The sequence below is a fragment of the Homo sapiens genome, chromosome 9, assembly GCF_000001405.40.
Source record: "Homo sapiens chromosome 9, GRCh38.p14 Primary Assembly".
NCBI classification, from domain to species: Eukaryota; Metazoa; Chordata; class Mammalia; order Primates; family Hominidae; genus Homo; species Homo sapiens.
In genome coordinates, this window is record NC_000009.12 from 108,894,606 (window position 1) to 108,915,491 (window position 20,886).

The following is a 20,886-nucleotide window of genomic DNA, read 5'->3' on the forward strand; positions in this document are numbered from 1 at the left end:
CACAGTATCATTTATTTCATAGGCTAATAAGGGAAATAAGGTTTCAGTCTAGAAGATATTCAACAAATGCATCTAAGTTTCTCCTAAAAGTCTAAGACATTGCTCTTGGTGCTGTTTTCATGACATTCCATGCTCTCCTGAAATGATCACATTAAAACAAACATAAAATTATACTGAGTTGGACACAAAACTCTGAGACCCTGCCAACCTAGTATTTATTGGCACTATCATCTCCAGCTCTATGCCATGCCCTGTAAGCAAATTGTTTTTCTTCCTAATGGAGAGGTGTTTCCTGTTTTTAATGCAATTTCCCTGGGCTGACAGGATAAATACATGTAAGAACAACATAGGAAGAAAACCCAAGACAACAAATAATTAAGTGCTCATTCCCAGCACTCTGGGAGGCCGAGGCAGATGGATTGCTTCAGCTCACAAGTTTGAGACCAGCCTGGGCAACATGGCGAAACCCCGTCTCAACAAAAAAAATTCAAAACTTAGCCGGGCATGGTGGTGCACGCCTGTAAGCTGAGGTGAGATTGCTTGAGCCTAGGAGGCGTAGGTTGCAGTGAGCCAAGATGGTGCCACTGCACTCCAGCCCGGGTGATAGAGCCCGACCTTGTCTCAAAAATAAATAAATAAATACCGCACTCTAGATAAAGACACACTGTAGTCTGCAGGGGTAGGCACTGTGTGCAACAGAAGCATATAGGAGGGTCACCTCACCCAGTCCCTGGAGGGAAGCATGAATGGCTTACTGGGAAGAGGCCACCTTGGCATCCTTTAACCTAGATTAGTGAGAATTAGCCAGGGGAATGGTGAGGGTGGAAGCAGTCAAAGCCCATGGATGGCAGAAGTAATGCTGCCCACCAAGGCATGTGGTGGTGAGGGGCAAGGGAAGGGGGACAAAAGCATTGTCTTTCCTCCATGGGCAGAGGAAAAAAAGACAATACCAAGAAGTGAGAATGGAAAGATACACAGAGGCCAGGTCAAGGAAGGGTTTTTAAGCAGTATTATGGCTTCTGAATTATATCCTCGGAACAATGGGAGCTCATGAAGTATTTTAAGCAGAGAGATGAAGGATCCGATTTTCATTTTTGGAGAGGTCATGGGGAAGAGACTGAGGCTGCAAAAAAATAAATAAAAAATATGCATACCAGTGGTGTTCAAAGTTTTTGATCATAGCAAATGTACCAACATAGGAAAGGAGGCCATGAGCCTTCTGTGCTCCATGTGCCCACCCTCCACTAGAAAAAAGAGCCATGTGAGAAAGAACCGGAGTGGAACATGAACCACTTGTTACATTTCCTTTATAAGAGAAGAAATTAGCTCACACATATGCCCATCATCTTAAAAATAACCATGTAATTTTAGGCCGCACATGGTGGCCCACACCTGTAATTCCAGCACTTTGGGAGACTGAGGTAGGCGGATCACGAGGTCAGGAGATGGAGACCATCCTGGCTAACACAGTGAAACCCTGTCTCTACTAAAAATACAAAAAATTAGCCGGGCGTGGTGATGGGCACCTGTAGTCCCAGCTACTAGAGAGGCTGAGGCAGGAGAATGGCGTGAACACGGGAGGTGGAACTTGCAGTAAGCCGAGATCGCACCACTGCACTCCAGCCTGGGCGACTGAGTGAGACTCCGTCTCAAAAAAAAAGAAACAAAAAAAAGCCATGCAATTTTACTTCACTTCTTCAACCTCACAATCAAAACACTTTCATAAGCACAGGGGCTTAGGAATGTGGGCCCTAGAAACTCACAGATCTGTCTCCAGCCCTGCACTCACAGAGTGATAGCAGAAAAGCTACTGCACTACCAGAAGCAGGGTTTCACACTATCATTATATAAACAAGAACCAAATGGCATAAAAGTAAGAACTCCACATACCTTCTGTGACTTCTCAGCTACCATGAGGACCAAATCAAAGTCATAGGTGCCAAGAGAATGATCATATAATTCATTAACATCTACCAGATGCAGCAAATATTTCAAGGCCTCTTCAGCACTCACAGCATCAGGATCAGAGGGAGCATTTCCTAACAGTGTTTAGAAAACAAAACAGAACACAATCATTTGGGGAAAAAATCCACAGACCTAACAACATAACCAAAAAGACAATAAATTTTTCTCAATAGAACTGGACATCAGAAGAATATATACTTCTGATACTTTTATATATGCTTTAGAGGGCAGCACTGAAAAAAACTGACAAGGGTCTTAAAATGGCAACTAAAAAGTCACATGTTAAATCTGTGGTGTGGCAATGACATGGTGATTGTCACCTGCAGAAGACTAGTAGCAGTCACGGCCACCTTAAGCACTTTCTCTGTGAGCGGATCTCTACCTTGAAGCTCGTGTACTTTTTGCAGTACAATTTCCAGTTCTGGGGTTGTCTTCTTTACATGAGATGTAAGTATGGATAGGCAGTATCTGAGGTAATAAGTGAAGAACACCAGAATGAGAAAGGTAAGTAGGCTGGACAAGGACAACTACACACTTCGGTTTTTCAAAGGATGCCACCTGGTGACAGCATACATACTTATGAGGATTTATGCTCTCCATGACTGCTCTCATAGCATCGCAGACAAGGTCTATTTTATTCCCGTCAGGATCCCTGGACAGGTAGACACTGCTGGTAACTGGTGCAGGGTACATGGTCTTCGTGACATCTTCTTCTCTAAGAACAGGTGTGTATGGAATGGTCATCAACAGAACATGTAGCCCAGCGATCAAATTACTAACATACACCTGGCATGCTGATGATGATAAATAAAAATGACTTTTGGAAAAGAGTTGAATTATAAAAATATTGAGAAATAAAACATGTCCACAAAAGACTTATACAAATGTTTGTAGATGTTTTAGTCACATTAGCCCCAAACAGGGTAGTACAATCCACATGTCCAGCAACAGGGGAATGAATAAGCAAATAGTGGTGTATTTACACAACGGCATACTACTGACCAATAAAAAAAGAATGAACTAGTGATACATATAAAAACACAGATGAATCTCAAGACAATATGCTGAATGAAAACAGCTTTATGCAGAAGAGTAATACTGTATGCTTCCATTTAGGTGAAGTTCTTGAACAGGCAAAACTGATTTATGGTAAAAAATTCAGAAGAGTAGTTGCCTGGGGAATGGGACAGGGACTGATTGAAAGGAATCTGAAGCAGCTTTCTGAAAAGGAGTAAATGCCCTCTAACTTGACAGAGGTTCAGGTTACATGAAGTGTACATTTGCCAAAACTCACTAAGTGGCACACTTAAGATTTGGACATTTCACTGTAGATAAATATGACCTGAAAAAACACAACAAAACCAACCCATACACAAAGAATGCCCTCTAGTTAATGATATACAAGGAGAAGTACAGGTGGTAGAGTGGACTGATGTCTACAACTCACTTAGCAATTTGTCTACAAACAAGATGAATGATGGATGGACAGATTATAGAGAATGAGAATGTGTATACAGAAAAATATAAACTGGCGAATCCAGGTGGGGTATATATAGGTTGCTTACTGGACAATTCTCTCAACTTTTCTCTATTTTGAAAGTGTTTCATTAAAAAGTTGAGGGGAAAGATCATCAGAGAGAAAGATGCCATTTGATTTCAGTCTCCTAGGAAAAACAAGTAGTTTTATATGTATACCTAAAAATCAAGTGAAATAATAATTCTGAATGACATGTTTTAAGGACATAGTTTTAAACAGGCTGTTTTAAAAAGAACGGAAAAGAGCAAAAAACCAACTGGCATCTAAGAGTTATAGCAATTTTTAAAAATGAACAGTAAGGAATTTTTCTTCTCTAGCTATTTATGCTTGATTTCCTTAACAAGAAGAGAGAAAACTATGGAAAAGATACACATGAATTATTCAAAATACTTACTTCAATTCTGTAAAAAACAAGTTAATATGATTCACAGAATCTATCTGTTTAATGAAGGTTTCCACATTTCCAAGAAACACCTACCAAAAAAAGGACAAAACATCTTCGTTCAGATCATATTAGTTTAAGTACAAAGTAAGCTAGAGTAAATGACAGCTTAGAAAGTTACCTTAGGGTTATGATCATAAATCAGATTGAGATTGATTCTCAGCTTTCTCATGCATTCAAATGCCTCTTTAAACATAAGTCTGTGAGAAGACAGAGAAAGAATAGAAAAGATATTCACAAAAACTGAGCTCCATGGGCCCAGCATATTTTCATTATGATACAAACCAGTTATAATCAGATTACAGCCCCAATGCCAAGCTGCTATCACTGGATTTCTACTCTGAAATTACAGAATAAAAAAATCAGGTACCACATTCATTTACCTTCTTAAAAGGTGTAATTTAGTCATCATGACTGTCTGAGAACTACATCTTCACATACATACAACAGAAAATCATTACAGAAGCCCGGGCACGGTGGTTCACACCTGTAATCCTAGCACTTTGGGAGGCCGAGGTGGGCAGAACACTTGAGGTCAGGAGTTTGAGACCAGCCTGGCCAACATGGTGAAACCCTGTCTCTACTGAAAATACAAAAAAAAAAATTAGCCAGGCGTGGTGCACACCTGTAATCCTAGCTATGCGGGAGGCTGAAGTGGGAGGATTGCTTGAACCCAGAAGGCAGAGGTTGCAGTAAGCCGAGATTGCGCCACTGTACTCCAGCCTGGGTGACAGAGCAAGACTCTGTCTCAAAAAAAAAACAAAGAAAATCATCATGGAATTCAGGTCTACTTTTTAAACAAAACATTAGTATAGATCTTTCCAATACAAAGTTTCCTCCAAATAGGTTCAGAAAATCAGTCATTTCCTTCACAAGAGTAGCTCAGGCTTTTCTGGGTCATAGGCCCCGCTGTAAATCTATTGAAAGCTGTGGGCTTTCTACTTGAATAAATACACAAAGACAAGGTTTGGTGTGTACAATCTCCCTGGGTTCACAGGCCACCTAAAACCCACATGTGTTCCCTCAGGTTAAGAGAAGCCCTCCTTTATATGATGAGTGTCACGATTCTTTCTGCTAGGAATCTCCACTACAAAATACTGCATTAAAGTAAAAAAGTTAAAAAAAAAAAAAAGAGCCTCTAAGAATCTGATTGATGATATAGGTAATGAGGGCTTTTCATAATTTTAAGTTCTCGAAATTGTAATAAAATACTTATTGTCTTCACACATAAATCACAAGCTAACTAGTCGCAAACAGTACAATGGCACTTACTTGTCCAACCACTTCCGAATCTGAGCTAAAACCAGGGCTCGATGATGAACAACTTCTAAGTTTCCCCTTGGCATCTTAAATAAATTAAAGCAGTAACATTTTTAATTAAGTAGAAAACATTTAAATAGCCAGGATACACCATTTTACCTAACTCTTCACAGAGAATTACCACAACTCTCTAAAATCAGCACACTTTTAGCAGAATCTTGTTGTTCTCTATATTTATCTTGACTTTCAAGAAAAGTTTCGCTTTGAGCCTTATGGTCACAGCCTGTATCAACACTCCTTTGAATAAAGCTAACAGAAAACTATCAAGGAAAGGTTTACAATAAACGATACAAAGAATAAGAAAGCCTAAAATACAACCTGCAAGAATTATGCTTGGTACTTGGCTGAATGACAATCAGACTATCTATCTTGTCTGAAAAACCAGCTTACCTGTAATACAAGCTTTGTGTCCTGGGGCACAACAGTGACAATCCGTGAACCCCTCTCCACTTTCCGCAGAACTTCCCCATGGGACACATGATTGCTGCTCAGGCCGGCCTGTAATGCTAAACACACCATTAACTAATAAGCCTTAATTATCACAACAAGCCACTCTCCATTAACTGCAATTGAAACCGCACACATTATGTGAAATAGAAGAGAACAAATAACAACCATGTGCCTTAGCTCTCCCACTGAACCTCAAGACTATCAGCCCTGCTGATGAACACGCTCATCCCTGGAACTTGCCCTCTCTCTTACAGAGCCCTCATGCACATTCACATACACAGCTTCTCAAATGATGTGGAGAAACACAGTTAAGAATTGGGGCAACTTCTCTATTTCTTAGCATTATCAGTGTACTATAATCATATCAATGAAAGAAAGATTCCCTATTTCCAAGTTGGAAGCAAAGAAAATAAGTTGGCTTTTTAGAATAAGGAACACACACACACATACACGCCACACACACATACACGCCACACACACATACACGCCACACACACATACACGCCACACACACATACACGCCACACACACATACACGCCACACACACATACACGCCACACACACATACACGCCACACACACATACACGCCACACACACATACACGCCACACACACATACACGCCACACACACATACACGCCACACACACATACACGCCACACACACAGAGATAGATAGGGCATGGAACAGAAGACAAAATGCAGCCAATATCCTACAAACCACTAGATGGAGCGCAGATGTACAGTGGAGGGTGGGCACAGTGGGAAAAGACTACACAGAAGGTAAAACATTGGGGATCTACATAGTAATTCCAAATAAAATATTAGATCAGTTACATAATAAAATTTCCTGAAAAGTTTTTAACTTTAGAATGTGCTGCTTAAGGAAGGAACTCCCTTCCTTGGATGTCTTTACTAAAGTGCAGAATGATTTAACTGAGATATTATGTTGAGATTAGGGTCTAAGTAAAATAACTCTAAAGATTTTCTCCAGCCTAGGACTCCTTGATAAAAAGCCAAAATAAATGAAGAATTCAAAAAGTCATCAAGACTCCAAAAGACATTGGAGAAGGGACCATTTCTGTTTTATACATTGAAAACTTACTTTTAAATGAAGCATCCCTCAGGCAAAAACACTGGCAGGTATGGGAATGGGTTGTCAACAATAAAAACTCATCATATACTGCAAATGACGTGATATTTGACGCAACCTGCAAGAGAAGGCCAGAGAGGCATGGGTGAAAGCTAGCTAGATTACTCGGAGCTAACACTGTGAAAAGGATCCAACACCAAACCAAGCCTTGATACCTCAATGTCATTGATGAAAAAGCGACACCTGTCAGTCAGACCAAGGACACATTCCTGCAAAGAAATAAAACTGAAATCACAAGCAATTCTATCTCAAATCAGTTAAACCTACCTTTTCTATCACATAGTTCTACCACCCTATGATTTCACACCTAAGTTCCTGTAATCAGGACTAAAGATAGATACCTAAGACGTGGCTGGTCCAGTGCAAAATGGAATGTGAAGCCATCCAATCCATCAGTGAGCCCTGACATCTCCATCTCCTACACATATCTCAAACCCATCTCCTTTTTCCCCTCACTAACTCCACTCAACCGGTGTTGATCCCATATTCCAGTCTCGTCACTCTCCAATCAAGTCTCTTCTGGGCAGCCAGAATCACTGTCCAAACCATGAAGCAGAACACATTACTCTGTTATTAAAAATCACAAGAAGTTTCTAATCTTTGTTCAATTAAAGAACCCAAATTCCCTCCTATGACTGTCACTGAGCTCCAGCCACAATACTTCCATCCAGTCCCTTGAATAAGATGAGCTCTTGCTAAGCTCAAGGAGTTTGTTGTTCCTTCTGCCTGGAGACAGAGCCTTCTTTTTCTTCACATCTCAGCACACACATCACTGCCTCCGAGAGGCCTTCCTGGACCACCAGATGCAGGACTCCCATTCTCATAGCCACCATCCTCAAATTACCCCTCAAACATCTCAGTATTCTCTACCAGTATACTCTGTCCATTTCCATCACACTCCCAACAAAGGGAATCATTACATTGAAATTAATAGATCACAAGTTCCAGAAGAGCAGGAATTAGTCAAGCGGTTTTGTTTTCCAGCCACTGCATTCTACCATCCACCACAATTATAGGCATTCTAGTATGTGTTGAATAAAAATCTACTAAAACTATTCTCAAGATCACATTTCTGTTTCCCCTCCTAAATAAAATTAACTTTGAATGATTTGTACAACTAGGGATAAAAGGTTGCTAATCACATATATTATCTCATTTAGTCTTCTGAACCCTGATAGACAGATACTGATTTTCCCATTTTATAGATGAATAAGGTGTGGCTTATGAAAGTGAGATCATTTCCCACTATTGTCTAGGCATTTAGTGGAGACCCAAGTCCACCTCCAAAGCCCACGCTCTTTCTACTTAATGCCATCAGTCCCTGGGTAACTACTTTAAGTAAATTTCCTGCTCCGTGTTCACCTACCTCTTCTCCAATCATGGCCAATTCGGTCTGGGTGCATGGATAAGGAAACCGAACAGGAAATCCACCAGAGTTCTTCCATGGTTTAATAGCCAGAGAAGGTGACTCTGCAAGATTCACAGATCTAGTTCACAAATAGCTGATGCGCTCTTTGCAAAAAACCATCAACATCAACATTTGCTAAAACACTTAACATGCAATTTCAATCACTTTTTTTCTCTAATGCTGGCATTATTTATTTATATATATATTTTTATTATACTTTAAGTTCTAGGGTACATGTGCACAATGTGCAGGTTTGTTACATATGTATACATGTGCCATGTTGGTGTGCTGCACCCATTAACTTGTCATTTACATTAGGTATATCTCCTAATGCTATCCCTCCACCCTCCCCCACCCCACGACAGGCCCAGGTGTGTGATGTTCTCCTTCCTGTGTCCAAGTGTTCTCACTGTTCAGTTCCCACCTATGAGTGAGAACATGCGGTGTTTGGTTTTTTGTCCCTGCGATAGTCATCAATCACTTTTTTAAGAGTACGTTAGTTCATTAAAAGAGGAAACAGGAGTAGAATACACTTGCCAATTCCACTCTAAAGCTTAGGGTTTTCCAGGGTAGTTAAAAGACCTGACAATCAATATTGAACTGACAAGATACAAGTACATGTTCTTAAGAACTAAGCATCTATGTAAGTCATAACATGCTTTCCTAACACCTTGATACTCACCCCAAAGGTACTTAAATATCTGGCCATCAGCCAGCTGTAATACTACTGACTTGGTCTTGGAATTGCAACATAGACTGATTATGACCCCATCCACCGCTGCAGATGAACTGACAAAAAAAAGGAGAAGGGAGTGTAAACAGACCATTTTTCTCAAAAATAGTGACATTTCACTGATTTTGAAAATCAACAATTTCCTTTTGATGCTGCACTACCTACTTCAATACAATGTAGACAAAATACATATATACACACCCAATACTATACACACACACACACACACACACACACACTTATACACTTAGAGACAGACGGTTAGATGAATAGATAAAACTACTCCAAACCAAAGCCCAGATAAAGCCACATCTGCTACATGACACCATTTTCCACAAACCCAATAAGGTAGTTGTTTACACTGTGAAGTCATCATTCCTCTTCTGGCCACAACTTACTGCAACTTATTACAAAGTATTGCCTTCATTAGACATGGATGGTACCAATATCATTTCTGTCTGCTTAAAATAGTTAAAGCAGCTGGTCTGTAGGAAAATGAGCACACTCAATATCTCTATCACTATCATATCGATTGATGGAAAATTGTGGATTTTCACTAATGAGATGAAGGGAATTTGTTATCACCATTACATTTTTTCCCTGAGTCAATGGAGCGAAGTAAAATTTCACTATTTTTTTTTTTTTTTTTGGACAGTGTCTTGCTCTGTTGCCCAGGTTGAAATGCAGTTGACACAATCACAGCTCACCGCAATCTCAACCTCCTAGGCTCAAGTGATCCTCCCACCTCACCTTCTCAAGTAGCTTGGACCATAGCCACGGAAGCAGAATTTCTCAAAAGAGGAGGAAGAGGTAGTGATTAAAAAAAGAAAAAAGAGACAAAGAAGTAGTGATAAAAGCAAATGATGTTAATGCTAACATTTAATTCAAAGTTTTTAACCAATCTACAAAAAAACTAAACATTATAACAATAGGGAATTCCTCTACAAATGCTTCAAATTTTGTGAGGATAAATTATCTGTCAAGAAGAGAACAAACTCTGGAGCTAGACTCGCTGGGATTTGATCCTGGCTCCACCTGCATGATCTCAGGCAAGTTATCTAACTGCTCCATGTCTTAGTTGTCTCATCTGTAAAATGATGGTGCAAATGGCATATACTTTACAGAGGTATTATGAGAAATAAGTAAGCTAAAACAGACAAAGCATTTAGAAGAGTATTTTTTACAAAGTATAAGCTAAAGTAAATGTAAACTAAATCGAGGGACTTTGTAGTCCTCAAAAGCATTAATATTTTATATGAACAAAACAGTCTTTTTGAGAAATAAAAGTCAAAGCAGTAGAAATATACTGTAAATGACTTCTCATTTCCTTTACAGCAAATGAGATGACTGCATCAAGCTTTTGCCTCTACAAGCTAATGATGAAGAATTTCAAATCTGAAGAAGTAGAAACTTAGTAAATTGCTCCGCTTTTCAAAAGGTAATCTAATGGCTTACTTTAAGTGCTACATATTTCTAGAACATATTCTGCATTTAGACATGTTAACAAAAGGCTTTTTCAAAATATCACGAAAGACTATGAGTCAAAGAGTAGCAGCAAATGACTGCATTAAAATGTTTTATGTCTATAAATTTATGTAATGTATATATATAAAGGAAAGGTTCCTAATTTTGCAACAACGTTTCTCAGAAATCTCACCAGTAGGGCTTTAATTACAAATTAATCTGGGGATTAGTGTCAGTGGACAAAGGTGCCAAGTATTGACACTGGAAACAAGGAGTTCTGGGAACTGGCTAGAAAATGCTATCAACTATACAACAGGGCTTACATTACACAGAAGAGCATTCATTAACTGAAACCTGTTACATAATGAAGATATAGTCAGGAATCAAAACAAAACTCAGGCCCAGAGAACAGTGAAATTTCAGCAAAGAAGAATAGAGACTTTCTAATGGTAAATGTAGTCAGGTACAAAATAGGATATATAGAAGAGGAGGCTGGAAGAAGCATTTTGAAGTCACCACATCAAAACAAAGCATATATGTGCAATTATGCATCATTTAACGATGGGGATACGTCTGAGAAATGTGTTGTTAGGTGATTTCATCATTGTGCAAACATCATAGAGTACTTACACAAACCTAGGTGGTGTAGCCTACTACACCCCTAGCCTATGGGGTATGGCCTATTGCTACCAGGCTACAAACCTGGACAGCATGTTACTTTACAGAATACTACAGGCAATTGTAATACCATGTCAAGTATTTGTGTATCTAAACATAGAAAAGGTATGTATACACACACACACACACACACACACACACACATATATGCGCATGACTGCATTTATACAAAATTTCTTCCCATCACATTAGCCCATGAGAATTAGCCACTCTAATTATGCTTGACAGTTATTAAAATCAATTATAACATATAACAATCACGCTGGAAAAATGTGGGTAGATGCTAAATTAAAATATTTAACATATCTTTAAAAAGTTGCTTCATCTACTAATATTTATCCTATTTTTCACCACTTTTTGATATATTTTTGGTCTGTTATTTTGACATGGCTCATAACTAGACTTAACCTTCTTGTTAAGTGTGTCTAACAAGAAAGCTACTGCTCCTCAACCTTGATCAATAGAAGTCAAAAGTTGTATGCTCATAAAAGACAAAAACCTAACTCCATTTGCTTAACATGTGGAGTACAGGGAAAAACTGCAATACCTGACATTGAGCTGTCCATGCTCTTCATCCATCTCAGAAGAAGCTGCAGTCAAATGGTGAATGACAGACCGGGGGCTGAACTCACTGTGGCTTACAGCCAGGAAGACGTCTTCTTCAATCCAAGTGAGAAGGCCTAGTTTCAGCGGGTTTACATCTTGATCTTCATTATTCTCAAACTGGATTCTATTGTAAATATTGAAGAATATCCAAGACATGAATAAAACTTAAAAACCACTGAGACGTTCCTGGATGAAGGAAGACTGAAGCATCTTGTATACAGTCCACTCCTAATTATTTGGAGGGACAAAACCTGAGATACTACCAAATACTACAAAATCTAAAATTAATCTTTGTCTGGCTTAAGAATACGTTTTTATATTTTCCCTAAATTTCTCATACCCTGAAATCTTTAAATTTGAAGAGAACACTTGAGGAAACTGACTACACAAGAAAATTACCAGCCCTAGTCCCTACACTAATGAACCCCAGAGCTTTTCCACTGCCATGACTTACCAGCATTCAAACCAGGCTCTGGCAGGTATGTCACTTGCAGTAGAATGGGTCCTTTCCTAAGCACCTCACATTAAACTGACTGACTAGCTTGAGAGATGGTCTCCATGTCTCTAATGCATTCTTTGGTAGCATTTATACACCTGACCAGCGCACTGTTCTTGTCACCTCACGTAGGAACCGACAATGGCTACTTCCTGCCTTTTAGATCAGGTGGCAAATCCGCAGCTCCCACTGAAGAAGTTGGTCACTAGCCTGATCTTCCTCCTCAAACATCTCTCCCCGGACTCAGGCTCTCCATTGCATTCACATAGAGTATCCCATGGAGGATCAGTCCCACCTCTGGTTTTCACTGACACTTTCTTCCCCACCAGACCCAATGTTCCCAATTCTTTGCCAACCCCAAACCTATCCCTTCCCCAAGATCACGATGAGTACTCATGTCTTCTGTGAAATCTCAGACGAATTGGCATTATCCCCATCAATTTTTTTTAAATGAAACTATATTCTAAACTGCCTCATACTTTCTAATTTGTCCTCTATCTCTACTCTAGTGGTTTCAAGTCTATGAAGTGAAATAATGCATGTAAATGCTCTTTAAAAACTACTAAGCATTATACAGGCAGCCTCAAAATCATACAGAGGTTGAACACTTCTGCTGTATTTATTAAATATATCACATATATTTAAGAAACATTATTTATTAAATTCTGCTATTTGTTGTACTCAGTTAATTATTTCTATTAATCTAACAATAAATGTTCCCTGGAGGCAGAGTAGTTTAGTAATGAAGAACATGGACTTATCAAACAGAATAGAATCAAACCCTAAATTCTCTAGTTACCAGGTCCATGACCTTGGGTAAGTTACCTAACCTCTACACTTTGTTTTTTTAATCTGTAAGTACTCAATAAGTGGTACTTTTTAAAAAAGTTCTCTCACAGATGTGGCATTATAATTTGGTTTCTAGGTCATTTTGCAAATGCCTATAGTGTACCTGAGGTATTCAATAACATCCAATTGTTTACAATACTGTTTCAATGGAAGAATGCATTCTGATTTCCATCCCAGGAGCCTCAAAGCACAGCACCCAGAAGTTCTAGATTCTGGGATGGAGCAAAGACAGAGGCTGCATTAGGTCATCCATGTTAACAACCCATACATCCCCATTTATGTAAGAGAATGCAGCTCCGCCTTATCATTGTCATCTCCATCTTTCCCACATGATTTTTCCTGGAGAACCAAGCGCTATTGGGAGTAGGTCCTAGGCTGGCTTACAACTCATGCTCTCCTGCTACCTATCAAATTATATGGCATTCAGACAAACTACATGACTGGCTTCTCCAATCAGATCCGAAAGTCAGGGCCTGGGTGTTGTCTTTATTTCTTGTTCCACTCAGCAACAGGCATAGAACTGTTATCAGATGGCTGAATTTAGGACTGCATGCTGGCTGATTCTGTTCCCAGAAGCCCAAGATAATTAAGAACCTACTTGTATCTCTTTTCCAAATGAGGAGTTCTAAGGCAAACTTTAAATCCACTTCCACCCACAGCTCCCAGTTTCACTGTAGGGTCAGCACTTGGACAATCACCTGGAAAACAAAAATGCAAATATTATCATCGTAAATTATAAGATTTCACCTAATACTAAGGGGATGGTGTCTGCAATTAATGAGTTCTAGAAGGCAAACAGCAATCTAGAAAATAATCACATCTCAACCTCCTTAAAATTTCTGCTTTCCTCTTAAGAACACATCAGTCATAATCTTCCCTGACAAAGGCCACATCTCAGCAAGACCAGGTGAAGGGGCTACCCTCTCAGCCCAGTGCTGTGGACAATTTCCTCCACTGTCTTCAACCACCTCTCAATATCCTCAAATTCTCCAAAGTCCTAAGCACCTGCTTAAAAGACATTTTCTTTCTATTCTTCATCCAGTTTATTCACTGCACAGCAGCCAATGCAAGCCTTTAAAAAATTCAGCCAGAACACTGCACTCCTCTGTTCTAAGCCCTCTGGTGGCTCCTATCTCACTCGGAGTAAAAGCCGCAAGGCCCTACAAGAGCAGATTCCCATCACCACTCTGAACTCACCCACCACCTTCCCCTCCTTTGCTCTGCTGCAGCCACCCTGGCCTCCTGGCTATTTCCTAAACACAACAGGCACTTCGGTGGTTGCTTTTTACTCTGCTTGGAACGCTCTTTCTTTTTTCTTCTTTGCCTTCAAGCATAGAATGCTTGGGACGCTCTTACCCCAGATGTCTGCGTGGCTCCCACTGTGATTCTCACCAGGTCTCTGCTTCAATGTCACCTTCACAGAGAGGCCTTTGGGATCACACTAAATAGGAAAGACACCTTCCCCCTGTAAACCCTTATCCTTAAGCTCTCCCTACCCCTTATTTTGCTTAATTTTTCTCCACAGCACTTGCCATCTGATAGATCATATTTAATTGATATCTTTTGTCTACACCTAGAACAACAAGTTGTAGACAAAGTACAACTAGTTTTCTAGTACAACAAGCCAAGTACTAGAAAAAAGCCTGGCATATAATAAACAATCAAGAAGCAATGAGGGGGAAAAAGGAGTGATACTCAGGATGCATCAAACACCATCTTTGAAAACTTTGGCAACGAACTTGTCTCCACACCACTCAAATGTCTACCACTTGACTCCAAGTTCTTAATTTCCCTTCCACTTGGGCACGGAGCCCTGACCTGTTCCAGTCCAAGATCTCTTTTTCCAGATTCTCTTATATCCAAACTCTCCCCAGTGGGTTCTTTAACTTCTCAGGGTTTTTACTTCATGGATTTGTTATGATCTTTCTCTTCTTTCCATTTCTATGAACACTGCTCTGGCTCAAGCTCTTGCTAGCTCCTGCCTGGACACTTGACAACAGCTTCTCCTAACTAGAATCTCTGCCTCCAGGTGCCCCTGACCTATGGCCAACCCCACATATTGATGCCGAACAATCTTTCAAAAGTGGAGCTCTCAACCTGTCCTATCTCATCACAGGGAGTTTTCTCTCAAGTAAAATGAATGCAGGGTGGTACAGGGTTTCATTCTGAGGAGATAAAAACGTCCTAAAATTGATCGTGGTGATGGCTGTACAACTCTGTGAATATACATATATATACATATACATATGTATATATATTCATACACACACATATAAACCATTGAATTGTACACTTTAAATAGATGAATGATATAAAGCTATTTTTTAAGTGAATGCAGAACAAAACATACCATACATCATAAAGTGACATATAAACTCATTAGCATCATACAGTTAAGTCCCACAAAAGCTTACATCTGATTCTTTTTGCCTTGACAATGAACATATTTGCACTTTTTTTTAAAGCTATTTTGAAAAGTTTAAGGAGGACTGTAACAGCATTTTACACACTGAAACTATAATCAGAGAAACTGGTGATACATCCAGATAGGATCCATGTACACAGTGGGCTGCTGACTTAACAGAAAAGCTGATATGAAAGTAAGGACTTCCCATTTAAATTAATTAATTTTGATTATTCTCTCTTGGCAACTATCTAGGCTTTTTCTGAGAATTCAAAAGATATTTGAAAACAAGGCTAACACTGCCATATGCCAGCAGAATTTATGACATAACCACAGAACTCACAAGTAAAAACAAATTTCAGATTCTCCAGCACATCAGGAAAGTAATGAAGAACTGACAGCAATGGGGCTGTGGCAGGACAAGTGGATTAGGAGCTAGAACACCTGTGTTGAGGTCCTTGTCCATTCTTGTTCAAACAAATTACAAAACCTCTGACACTGTGTTCCCTCATCTACAAAAGAGGAAAACCCCATCTCTGACACAGCTCCTAGGAGGGATGAGATCAACTGAAAATATGTGTAAAGGCTATGAAAAGAGTAAAACATGTTAACAATGTATAACATACTATGTTATTTCCAGAGTCCAATGTTATTCTTAAATAACTGACTCTTCAAGTCAGTAAGGGAAAAGGAATGGCTCGTACAAACCAGTATAGGATTAAAAAAAAAAAAAACAAAAACCCAAGGCAATTAAATATCATAATGATAATGATATCAACTGCAGACTTAAAAATTTTGAGAAACACTAGACCTATGGCAACACCAAACTATAATTTGCTTTTATGTAGGAGTAGAAGGGACTTGATTCAGAACATCTTGGCAAAAGTTTTATAACATACCACATTTATAAACAGAAATCTGGTTACTGGCATCTAGAACAGCAAGGTCATTACTCTTTTGAGGGTGTGCTAAGAATGTGACTTGATTCACAGGGTGTGGGAACAGCAGTTGGTAGGTGCACATGGGAGGCGGAACCACAGTCTGCCGGAAGACTGTCACCAACACCCTGTCTGCAGTGAAAAAGAAAGAAGAGGATTAGACCTAGGGATATTCAATTTGTAAGATAAGCCATCTGAACATCACAGTATATCTAAACAATAATGGCAATTCACAAAAAAATAACTTTCAATGTTTTTCTCAGGAACAAGTCTAAAAACAGTGTGGGATGGGGAAATGTCATGGGTTCTGTCCATAATTGGCTATTGTCACCTCTAGGCCTAGGGGAGTCCATCTCAGTACCTGGAGTTTCAGGTGCCAGGGACTAAGGCAAAAAGGCCAAGAGGTCAGACCTCTAGCTTTAAACCTGGGCCTGCAACCAAGCCACACTAAACCAAGGGAATTAATACTTTCAAAATCCTTAAAGCACTTTCCTATGTGTGGATTTGGTAATAACGCAGATCTGATTAAGTTCTCTATATAGAATACATGACTATAAAATCAGTATTATGTAGAATATTACACAGAATATGAATTAATATACCACCTCACATTACAATCTTAGAAGCCAGTGCTCCCTTTCATATCAGCAATGAAACTATTCATTAAGGTGACTACTTCACTCTTCAGTCTTGCCCTTCCCACCCCACCCCCTAAAAAAACCTTCTACCTCATTATAAAATATAAACCTAATCTTCATATTAGGCAAACGTTTATGCATGAACTGAACATACTGGAGAGGTATATATCAGCAAGCATTTGTATCAGGAAACAAAGCAACACAAGTGGGGTGGTATAAGGGTCAATTATAAATCTGTGTCAGGGCAAACAGATAAAGCTAACACACCCAATCCCACAAGACTGTACTGTTGTCATCCTCTCTACCTAGAGTCAAAGTTTTCAGTGTCTTCAAAGGCCAGGCAAGTAAACGTGTGAAGGCCACAGATGCAGTATAACAGGAAACTGGTGGGGGAGGGGGGACAATGGTTCTCAGGAGAGAACATACCCCACCTTATATCCCATTCAATAAAAAAACAAGTAACCCAAACAGCCAAAACAAATAAAGATTCCCCACTGTTCCAGTCAAACCACCACATCTGCAGGCCCTAGGCTCAGGACCCCTTGCAGGCTCATGGACACACTTCCCAGGAGCTTACTTCCATCAATGACAGCCACATTGGACAAGTCACTTGAATTATCTCCCACGCTCCGGTCAGTCGTCCAGTGCCAATCATAGGCGAGGTAATGCCAGCCCTGACAGAGAACATGCAGCCGGTATGGGGTCACAGGGTCCCACATCAGAGACACAATCTTGCTCTTCCCACAGGTGCTGAAGGATAAACTTTGCTTGAGATACCAGTGATAGTTTCCAACAGTCCAGAGCTGAACTGCAAGGGAAAATGAAAAGAAGGCCGTTAGAGGCTGGGAAGCAGACTTCATCCCACTTGCCAGAGGGGTTCAAGGGCAATCTTTTCTTTTTCAAAGGACCCTTCCTGCTCAGCCTCGTCTCTAAAATAAGAACAATAATAACTGCCAAAAAATAGCTTTCCATGCAGATAAAATATCAAGAATCAATAAGGTCAGAAATATATGTTTATTTTCTTGTTTTTTTTCTATTTTTAACTTTTATTCATATGTTTATTTTCGTTTTTTTTTTTTTTTTATTGACACAGAGTCTCGCTCTGCCGGCCAGGCTGGAGTGCAGTGGCGCAATCTCGGCTCACTGCAAGCTCCATCTCCCGGGTTCATGCCATTCTCCTGCCTCAGCCTCTCGAGTAGCTAGGACTACAGGCGCCCACCACCACACCCGGCTAATTTTTTTTTTTTGTATTTTTAGTAGAAACATGGTTTCACCGTGTTAGCCAGGATGGTCTTGATCTCCTGACCTTGTGATCCGCCTGCCTCGGCCTCCCAAAGTGCTGAGATTACAGGCCTGAGCCACCGTGCCTGGCCCACATGTTTATTTTCAACTTTACTTCCAAACTTTATGATCACAATGGAAGGCTACCAGGAAAAAGCATTCTTTTAGTGGGTTTTCTCATGAAGATTTAGGAAGAAGATAACTTGGCAATTAGAGTAAAAGTATTAAAACACTTAATCCAAGATCTAGACTAGCATCATTGTGTTGTATTGGGCTTAAGATGCTTATTTTCTTTCAGGTGCTTTGCAAGCACTTATGTTCAAGGCTATCTGGGTATTAATCCTGATTCAGCTGTCCAAAGAAGATAAGCATGAAATTATCCTTCCAACATCTATTAAGCAAGCAAGACTTAATCATGCCAAAACCAACCTTTACTAAACAGATGACATATAAATTAAGACCTTAGTTATATTAGGAATTATAGTTATATTAAGAAATATTATTTATATTAAGGATTTTCTCAATCTCCTTGCTCACTAATGCTTAACTTAGTGATCACAGCAAACATAACCTAGTCTCAAACCGCATTATTACAACACTTTGAAGTTAGACCACATGCTGATGTTCTGTGAGCACAGATGTTGTGGCTGTTCTTGTGCAATGTGTGTGTGTGTGTATATATATATATACATGTTTTTGAGATGGAGTCTCACTCTGTCACCCATGCTGGAGTGCAGTGGCTCAATCTCGGCTCACGGCAACCTCTGCCTCCCAGTTCAAGCGATTCCCTTGTCTCAGCCTCCCGAGTAGCTAGGACTACAGGCGCGCACCACCACGCCGGACTAATTTTTGCATTTTTAGTAGAGACAGGGTTTCATCCTGTGCAATATTTTTATGCTCAGCATATCACAGTGCCATCCCTTGACACACTGGTTAATCGGTGGTTCTCAACTGCGGCTGTTTAAAATCACTTGGGGGCTTTTGGTTTTTAATTAAATACTTACGTATAATCTCCATTCCAACACACTGAACTGAACTCTTGAGATGAAGCCTGAATATCATTTTTTTTCTAAAGGTGTGGCCAGGGTTAAGAACTATTGTGTTGAATGAATAATGAGTTTCTTAACATTGCAGTTAAAAGGGTTCTACTGAGGCCGGGCACGGTGGCTCACGCCTGTAATCCCAGCACTTTGGGAGGCCGAGACGGGCAGATCACGAGATGGAGATCGAGACCATCCTGGCTAACGCGGTGAAACCCTGCCTCTACCAAAAATACAAAAAATTAGCCAGGCTTGGTGGCGGGCGCCTGTAGACCCAGCTACTCGGGAAGCTGAGGCAGGAAAATGGAGTGAACCCGGGAGGCAGAGCTTGCAGTGACCGAGATCGGGCCACTGCACTCCAGCCTGGGGGAAAGAGAGAGACTCCGTCTCCAAAAAAAAAAAAAAAGGGGGGGGGGGTTCTACTGATTAAAGAGTTTGAAAGCTACTTAGAAAATAATCAAGTAAAAAGATTTATGAACAAAAATGTACCATGCATTGCTGTTTACAATAATGAGAAATGACAAAACTGTAAATGTCTAACAGCATGAGATTTAATGAACGAGAATAAACGAGTATTATACAGCAATTTAAAATGATGCAGATGTATCACACCTACACTTTTTTTTGTTTTGTTTTGAGACAGTCTCACTCTGTCGCCAAGGCTGGAGTGCAGTGGCACGATCTCCATTCACTGCAAGCTCCGCCTCCTCCAGGTTCACACCATTCTCCTGCCTCAGCCTCCTGAGTAGCTGGGACTACAGGCGCCTGCCACCACGCCCAGCTAATTTTTTGTATTTTTAGTAGAGATGGGGTTACACCGTGTTAGCCAGGATGGTCTCGATCTCCTGACCTCGTGATCCGCCCGCCTCGGCCTCCCAAAGTGCTGGGCCCCCAAAGTGCATGAGCCACCGCACCTGGCCCATACCTACTACACTTTTAACAAAAACAAGATGATAGCTATACTGAGATATATACATGAAAAACCTAGAAGACAAGAAAATTTGAATAGTGATTATTACGAAGTGGTAGAACTATGAGATTTTTTTCTCATCTTATTTTCTAACATTTTCAAGTATTATTTAATACTTAAAACCACACACTTATACATTTTAAAAGCTATAAAAATATTCTTACTTTTACGCTTAATCTAAATCTTCTTTCACGTCCACAGAATTCCTTTGGTTAGTGTTTTTTCTGTGGTAATACCATGCACTAGGGAAAGCACGTGATGACTTACAACAGTTAATTTTATTGTGTCAAGTTGGCTAGGCTATGGCACCCAGCTATCTGCTAAACTCCAGATGTTGCTGTGAAGGTATTCTGTAGATGTGATTAATATTTATAATCGGCTGACTATAAGGAAAGCAGATTATTCCCCATAATGTGGGAAGGTCCCATTCATTCAGCTGAAGACCTTAAAAGCAAAAACTGAGGCTTCGCAGAAAAGAAGAAATTCTGCCTTAAGGCTGTAACAGAAATCCTCC

At 40.0% G+C, this 20,886-nt stretch overlaps 1 protein-coding gene across 4 annotated transcripts in view; it reads right to left on the minus strand.

The window, feature by feature from the left end:
* ELP1 (elongator acetyltransferase complex subunit 1) overlaps nucleotides 1-20,886 on the minus strand; it is a 66,608-nt gene that overhangs the window by 27,089 nt on the left and 18,633 nt on the right. For 3 of the 4 annotated variants that reach the window (NM_001318360.2, NM_001330749.2, NM_003640.5), the window contains 15 exons: nucleotides 17,659-17,889; nucleotides 16,405-16,575; nucleotides 13,700-13,799; nucleotides 11,698-11,880; nucleotides 8,958-9,064; nucleotides 8,234-8,337; nucleotides 7,023-7,076; nucleotides 6,820-6,925; nucleotides 5,655-5,770; nucleotides 5,217-5,290; nucleotides 4,066-4,144; nucleotides 3,897-3,976; nucleotides 2,543-2,680; nucleotides 2,348-2,433; nucleotides 1,891-2,039 (listed from right to left, as the gene is read on the minus strand). In NM_001318360.2, coding sequence (NP_001305289.1) covers nucleotides 1,891-2,039; nucleotides 2,348-2,433; nucleotides 2,543-2,680; nucleotides 3,897-3,976; nucleotides 4,066-4,144; nucleotides 5,217-5,290; nucleotides 5,655-5,770; nucleotides 6,820-6,925; nucleotides 7,023-7,076; nucleotides 8,234-8,337; nucleotides 8,958-9,064; nucleotides 11,698-11,880; nucleotides 13,700-13,799; nucleotides 16,405-16,575; nucleotides 17,659-17,889 — 1,778 coding nt within the window. Of the gene's footprint in view, nucleotides 1-1,890; nucleotides 2,040-2,285; nucleotides 2,434-2,542; nucleotides 2,681-3,896; nucleotides 3,977-4,065; nucleotides 4,145-5,216; nucleotides 5,291-5,654; nucleotides 5,771-6,819; nucleotides 6,926-7,022; nucleotides 7,077-8,233; nucleotides 8,338-8,957; nucleotides 9,065-11,697; nucleotides 11,881-13,699; nucleotides 13,800-16,404; nucleotides 16,576-17,658; nucleotides 17,890-20,886 lie in introns of those variants that run through there. The other variant, XM_047423991.1, reaches the window with a different exon arrangement.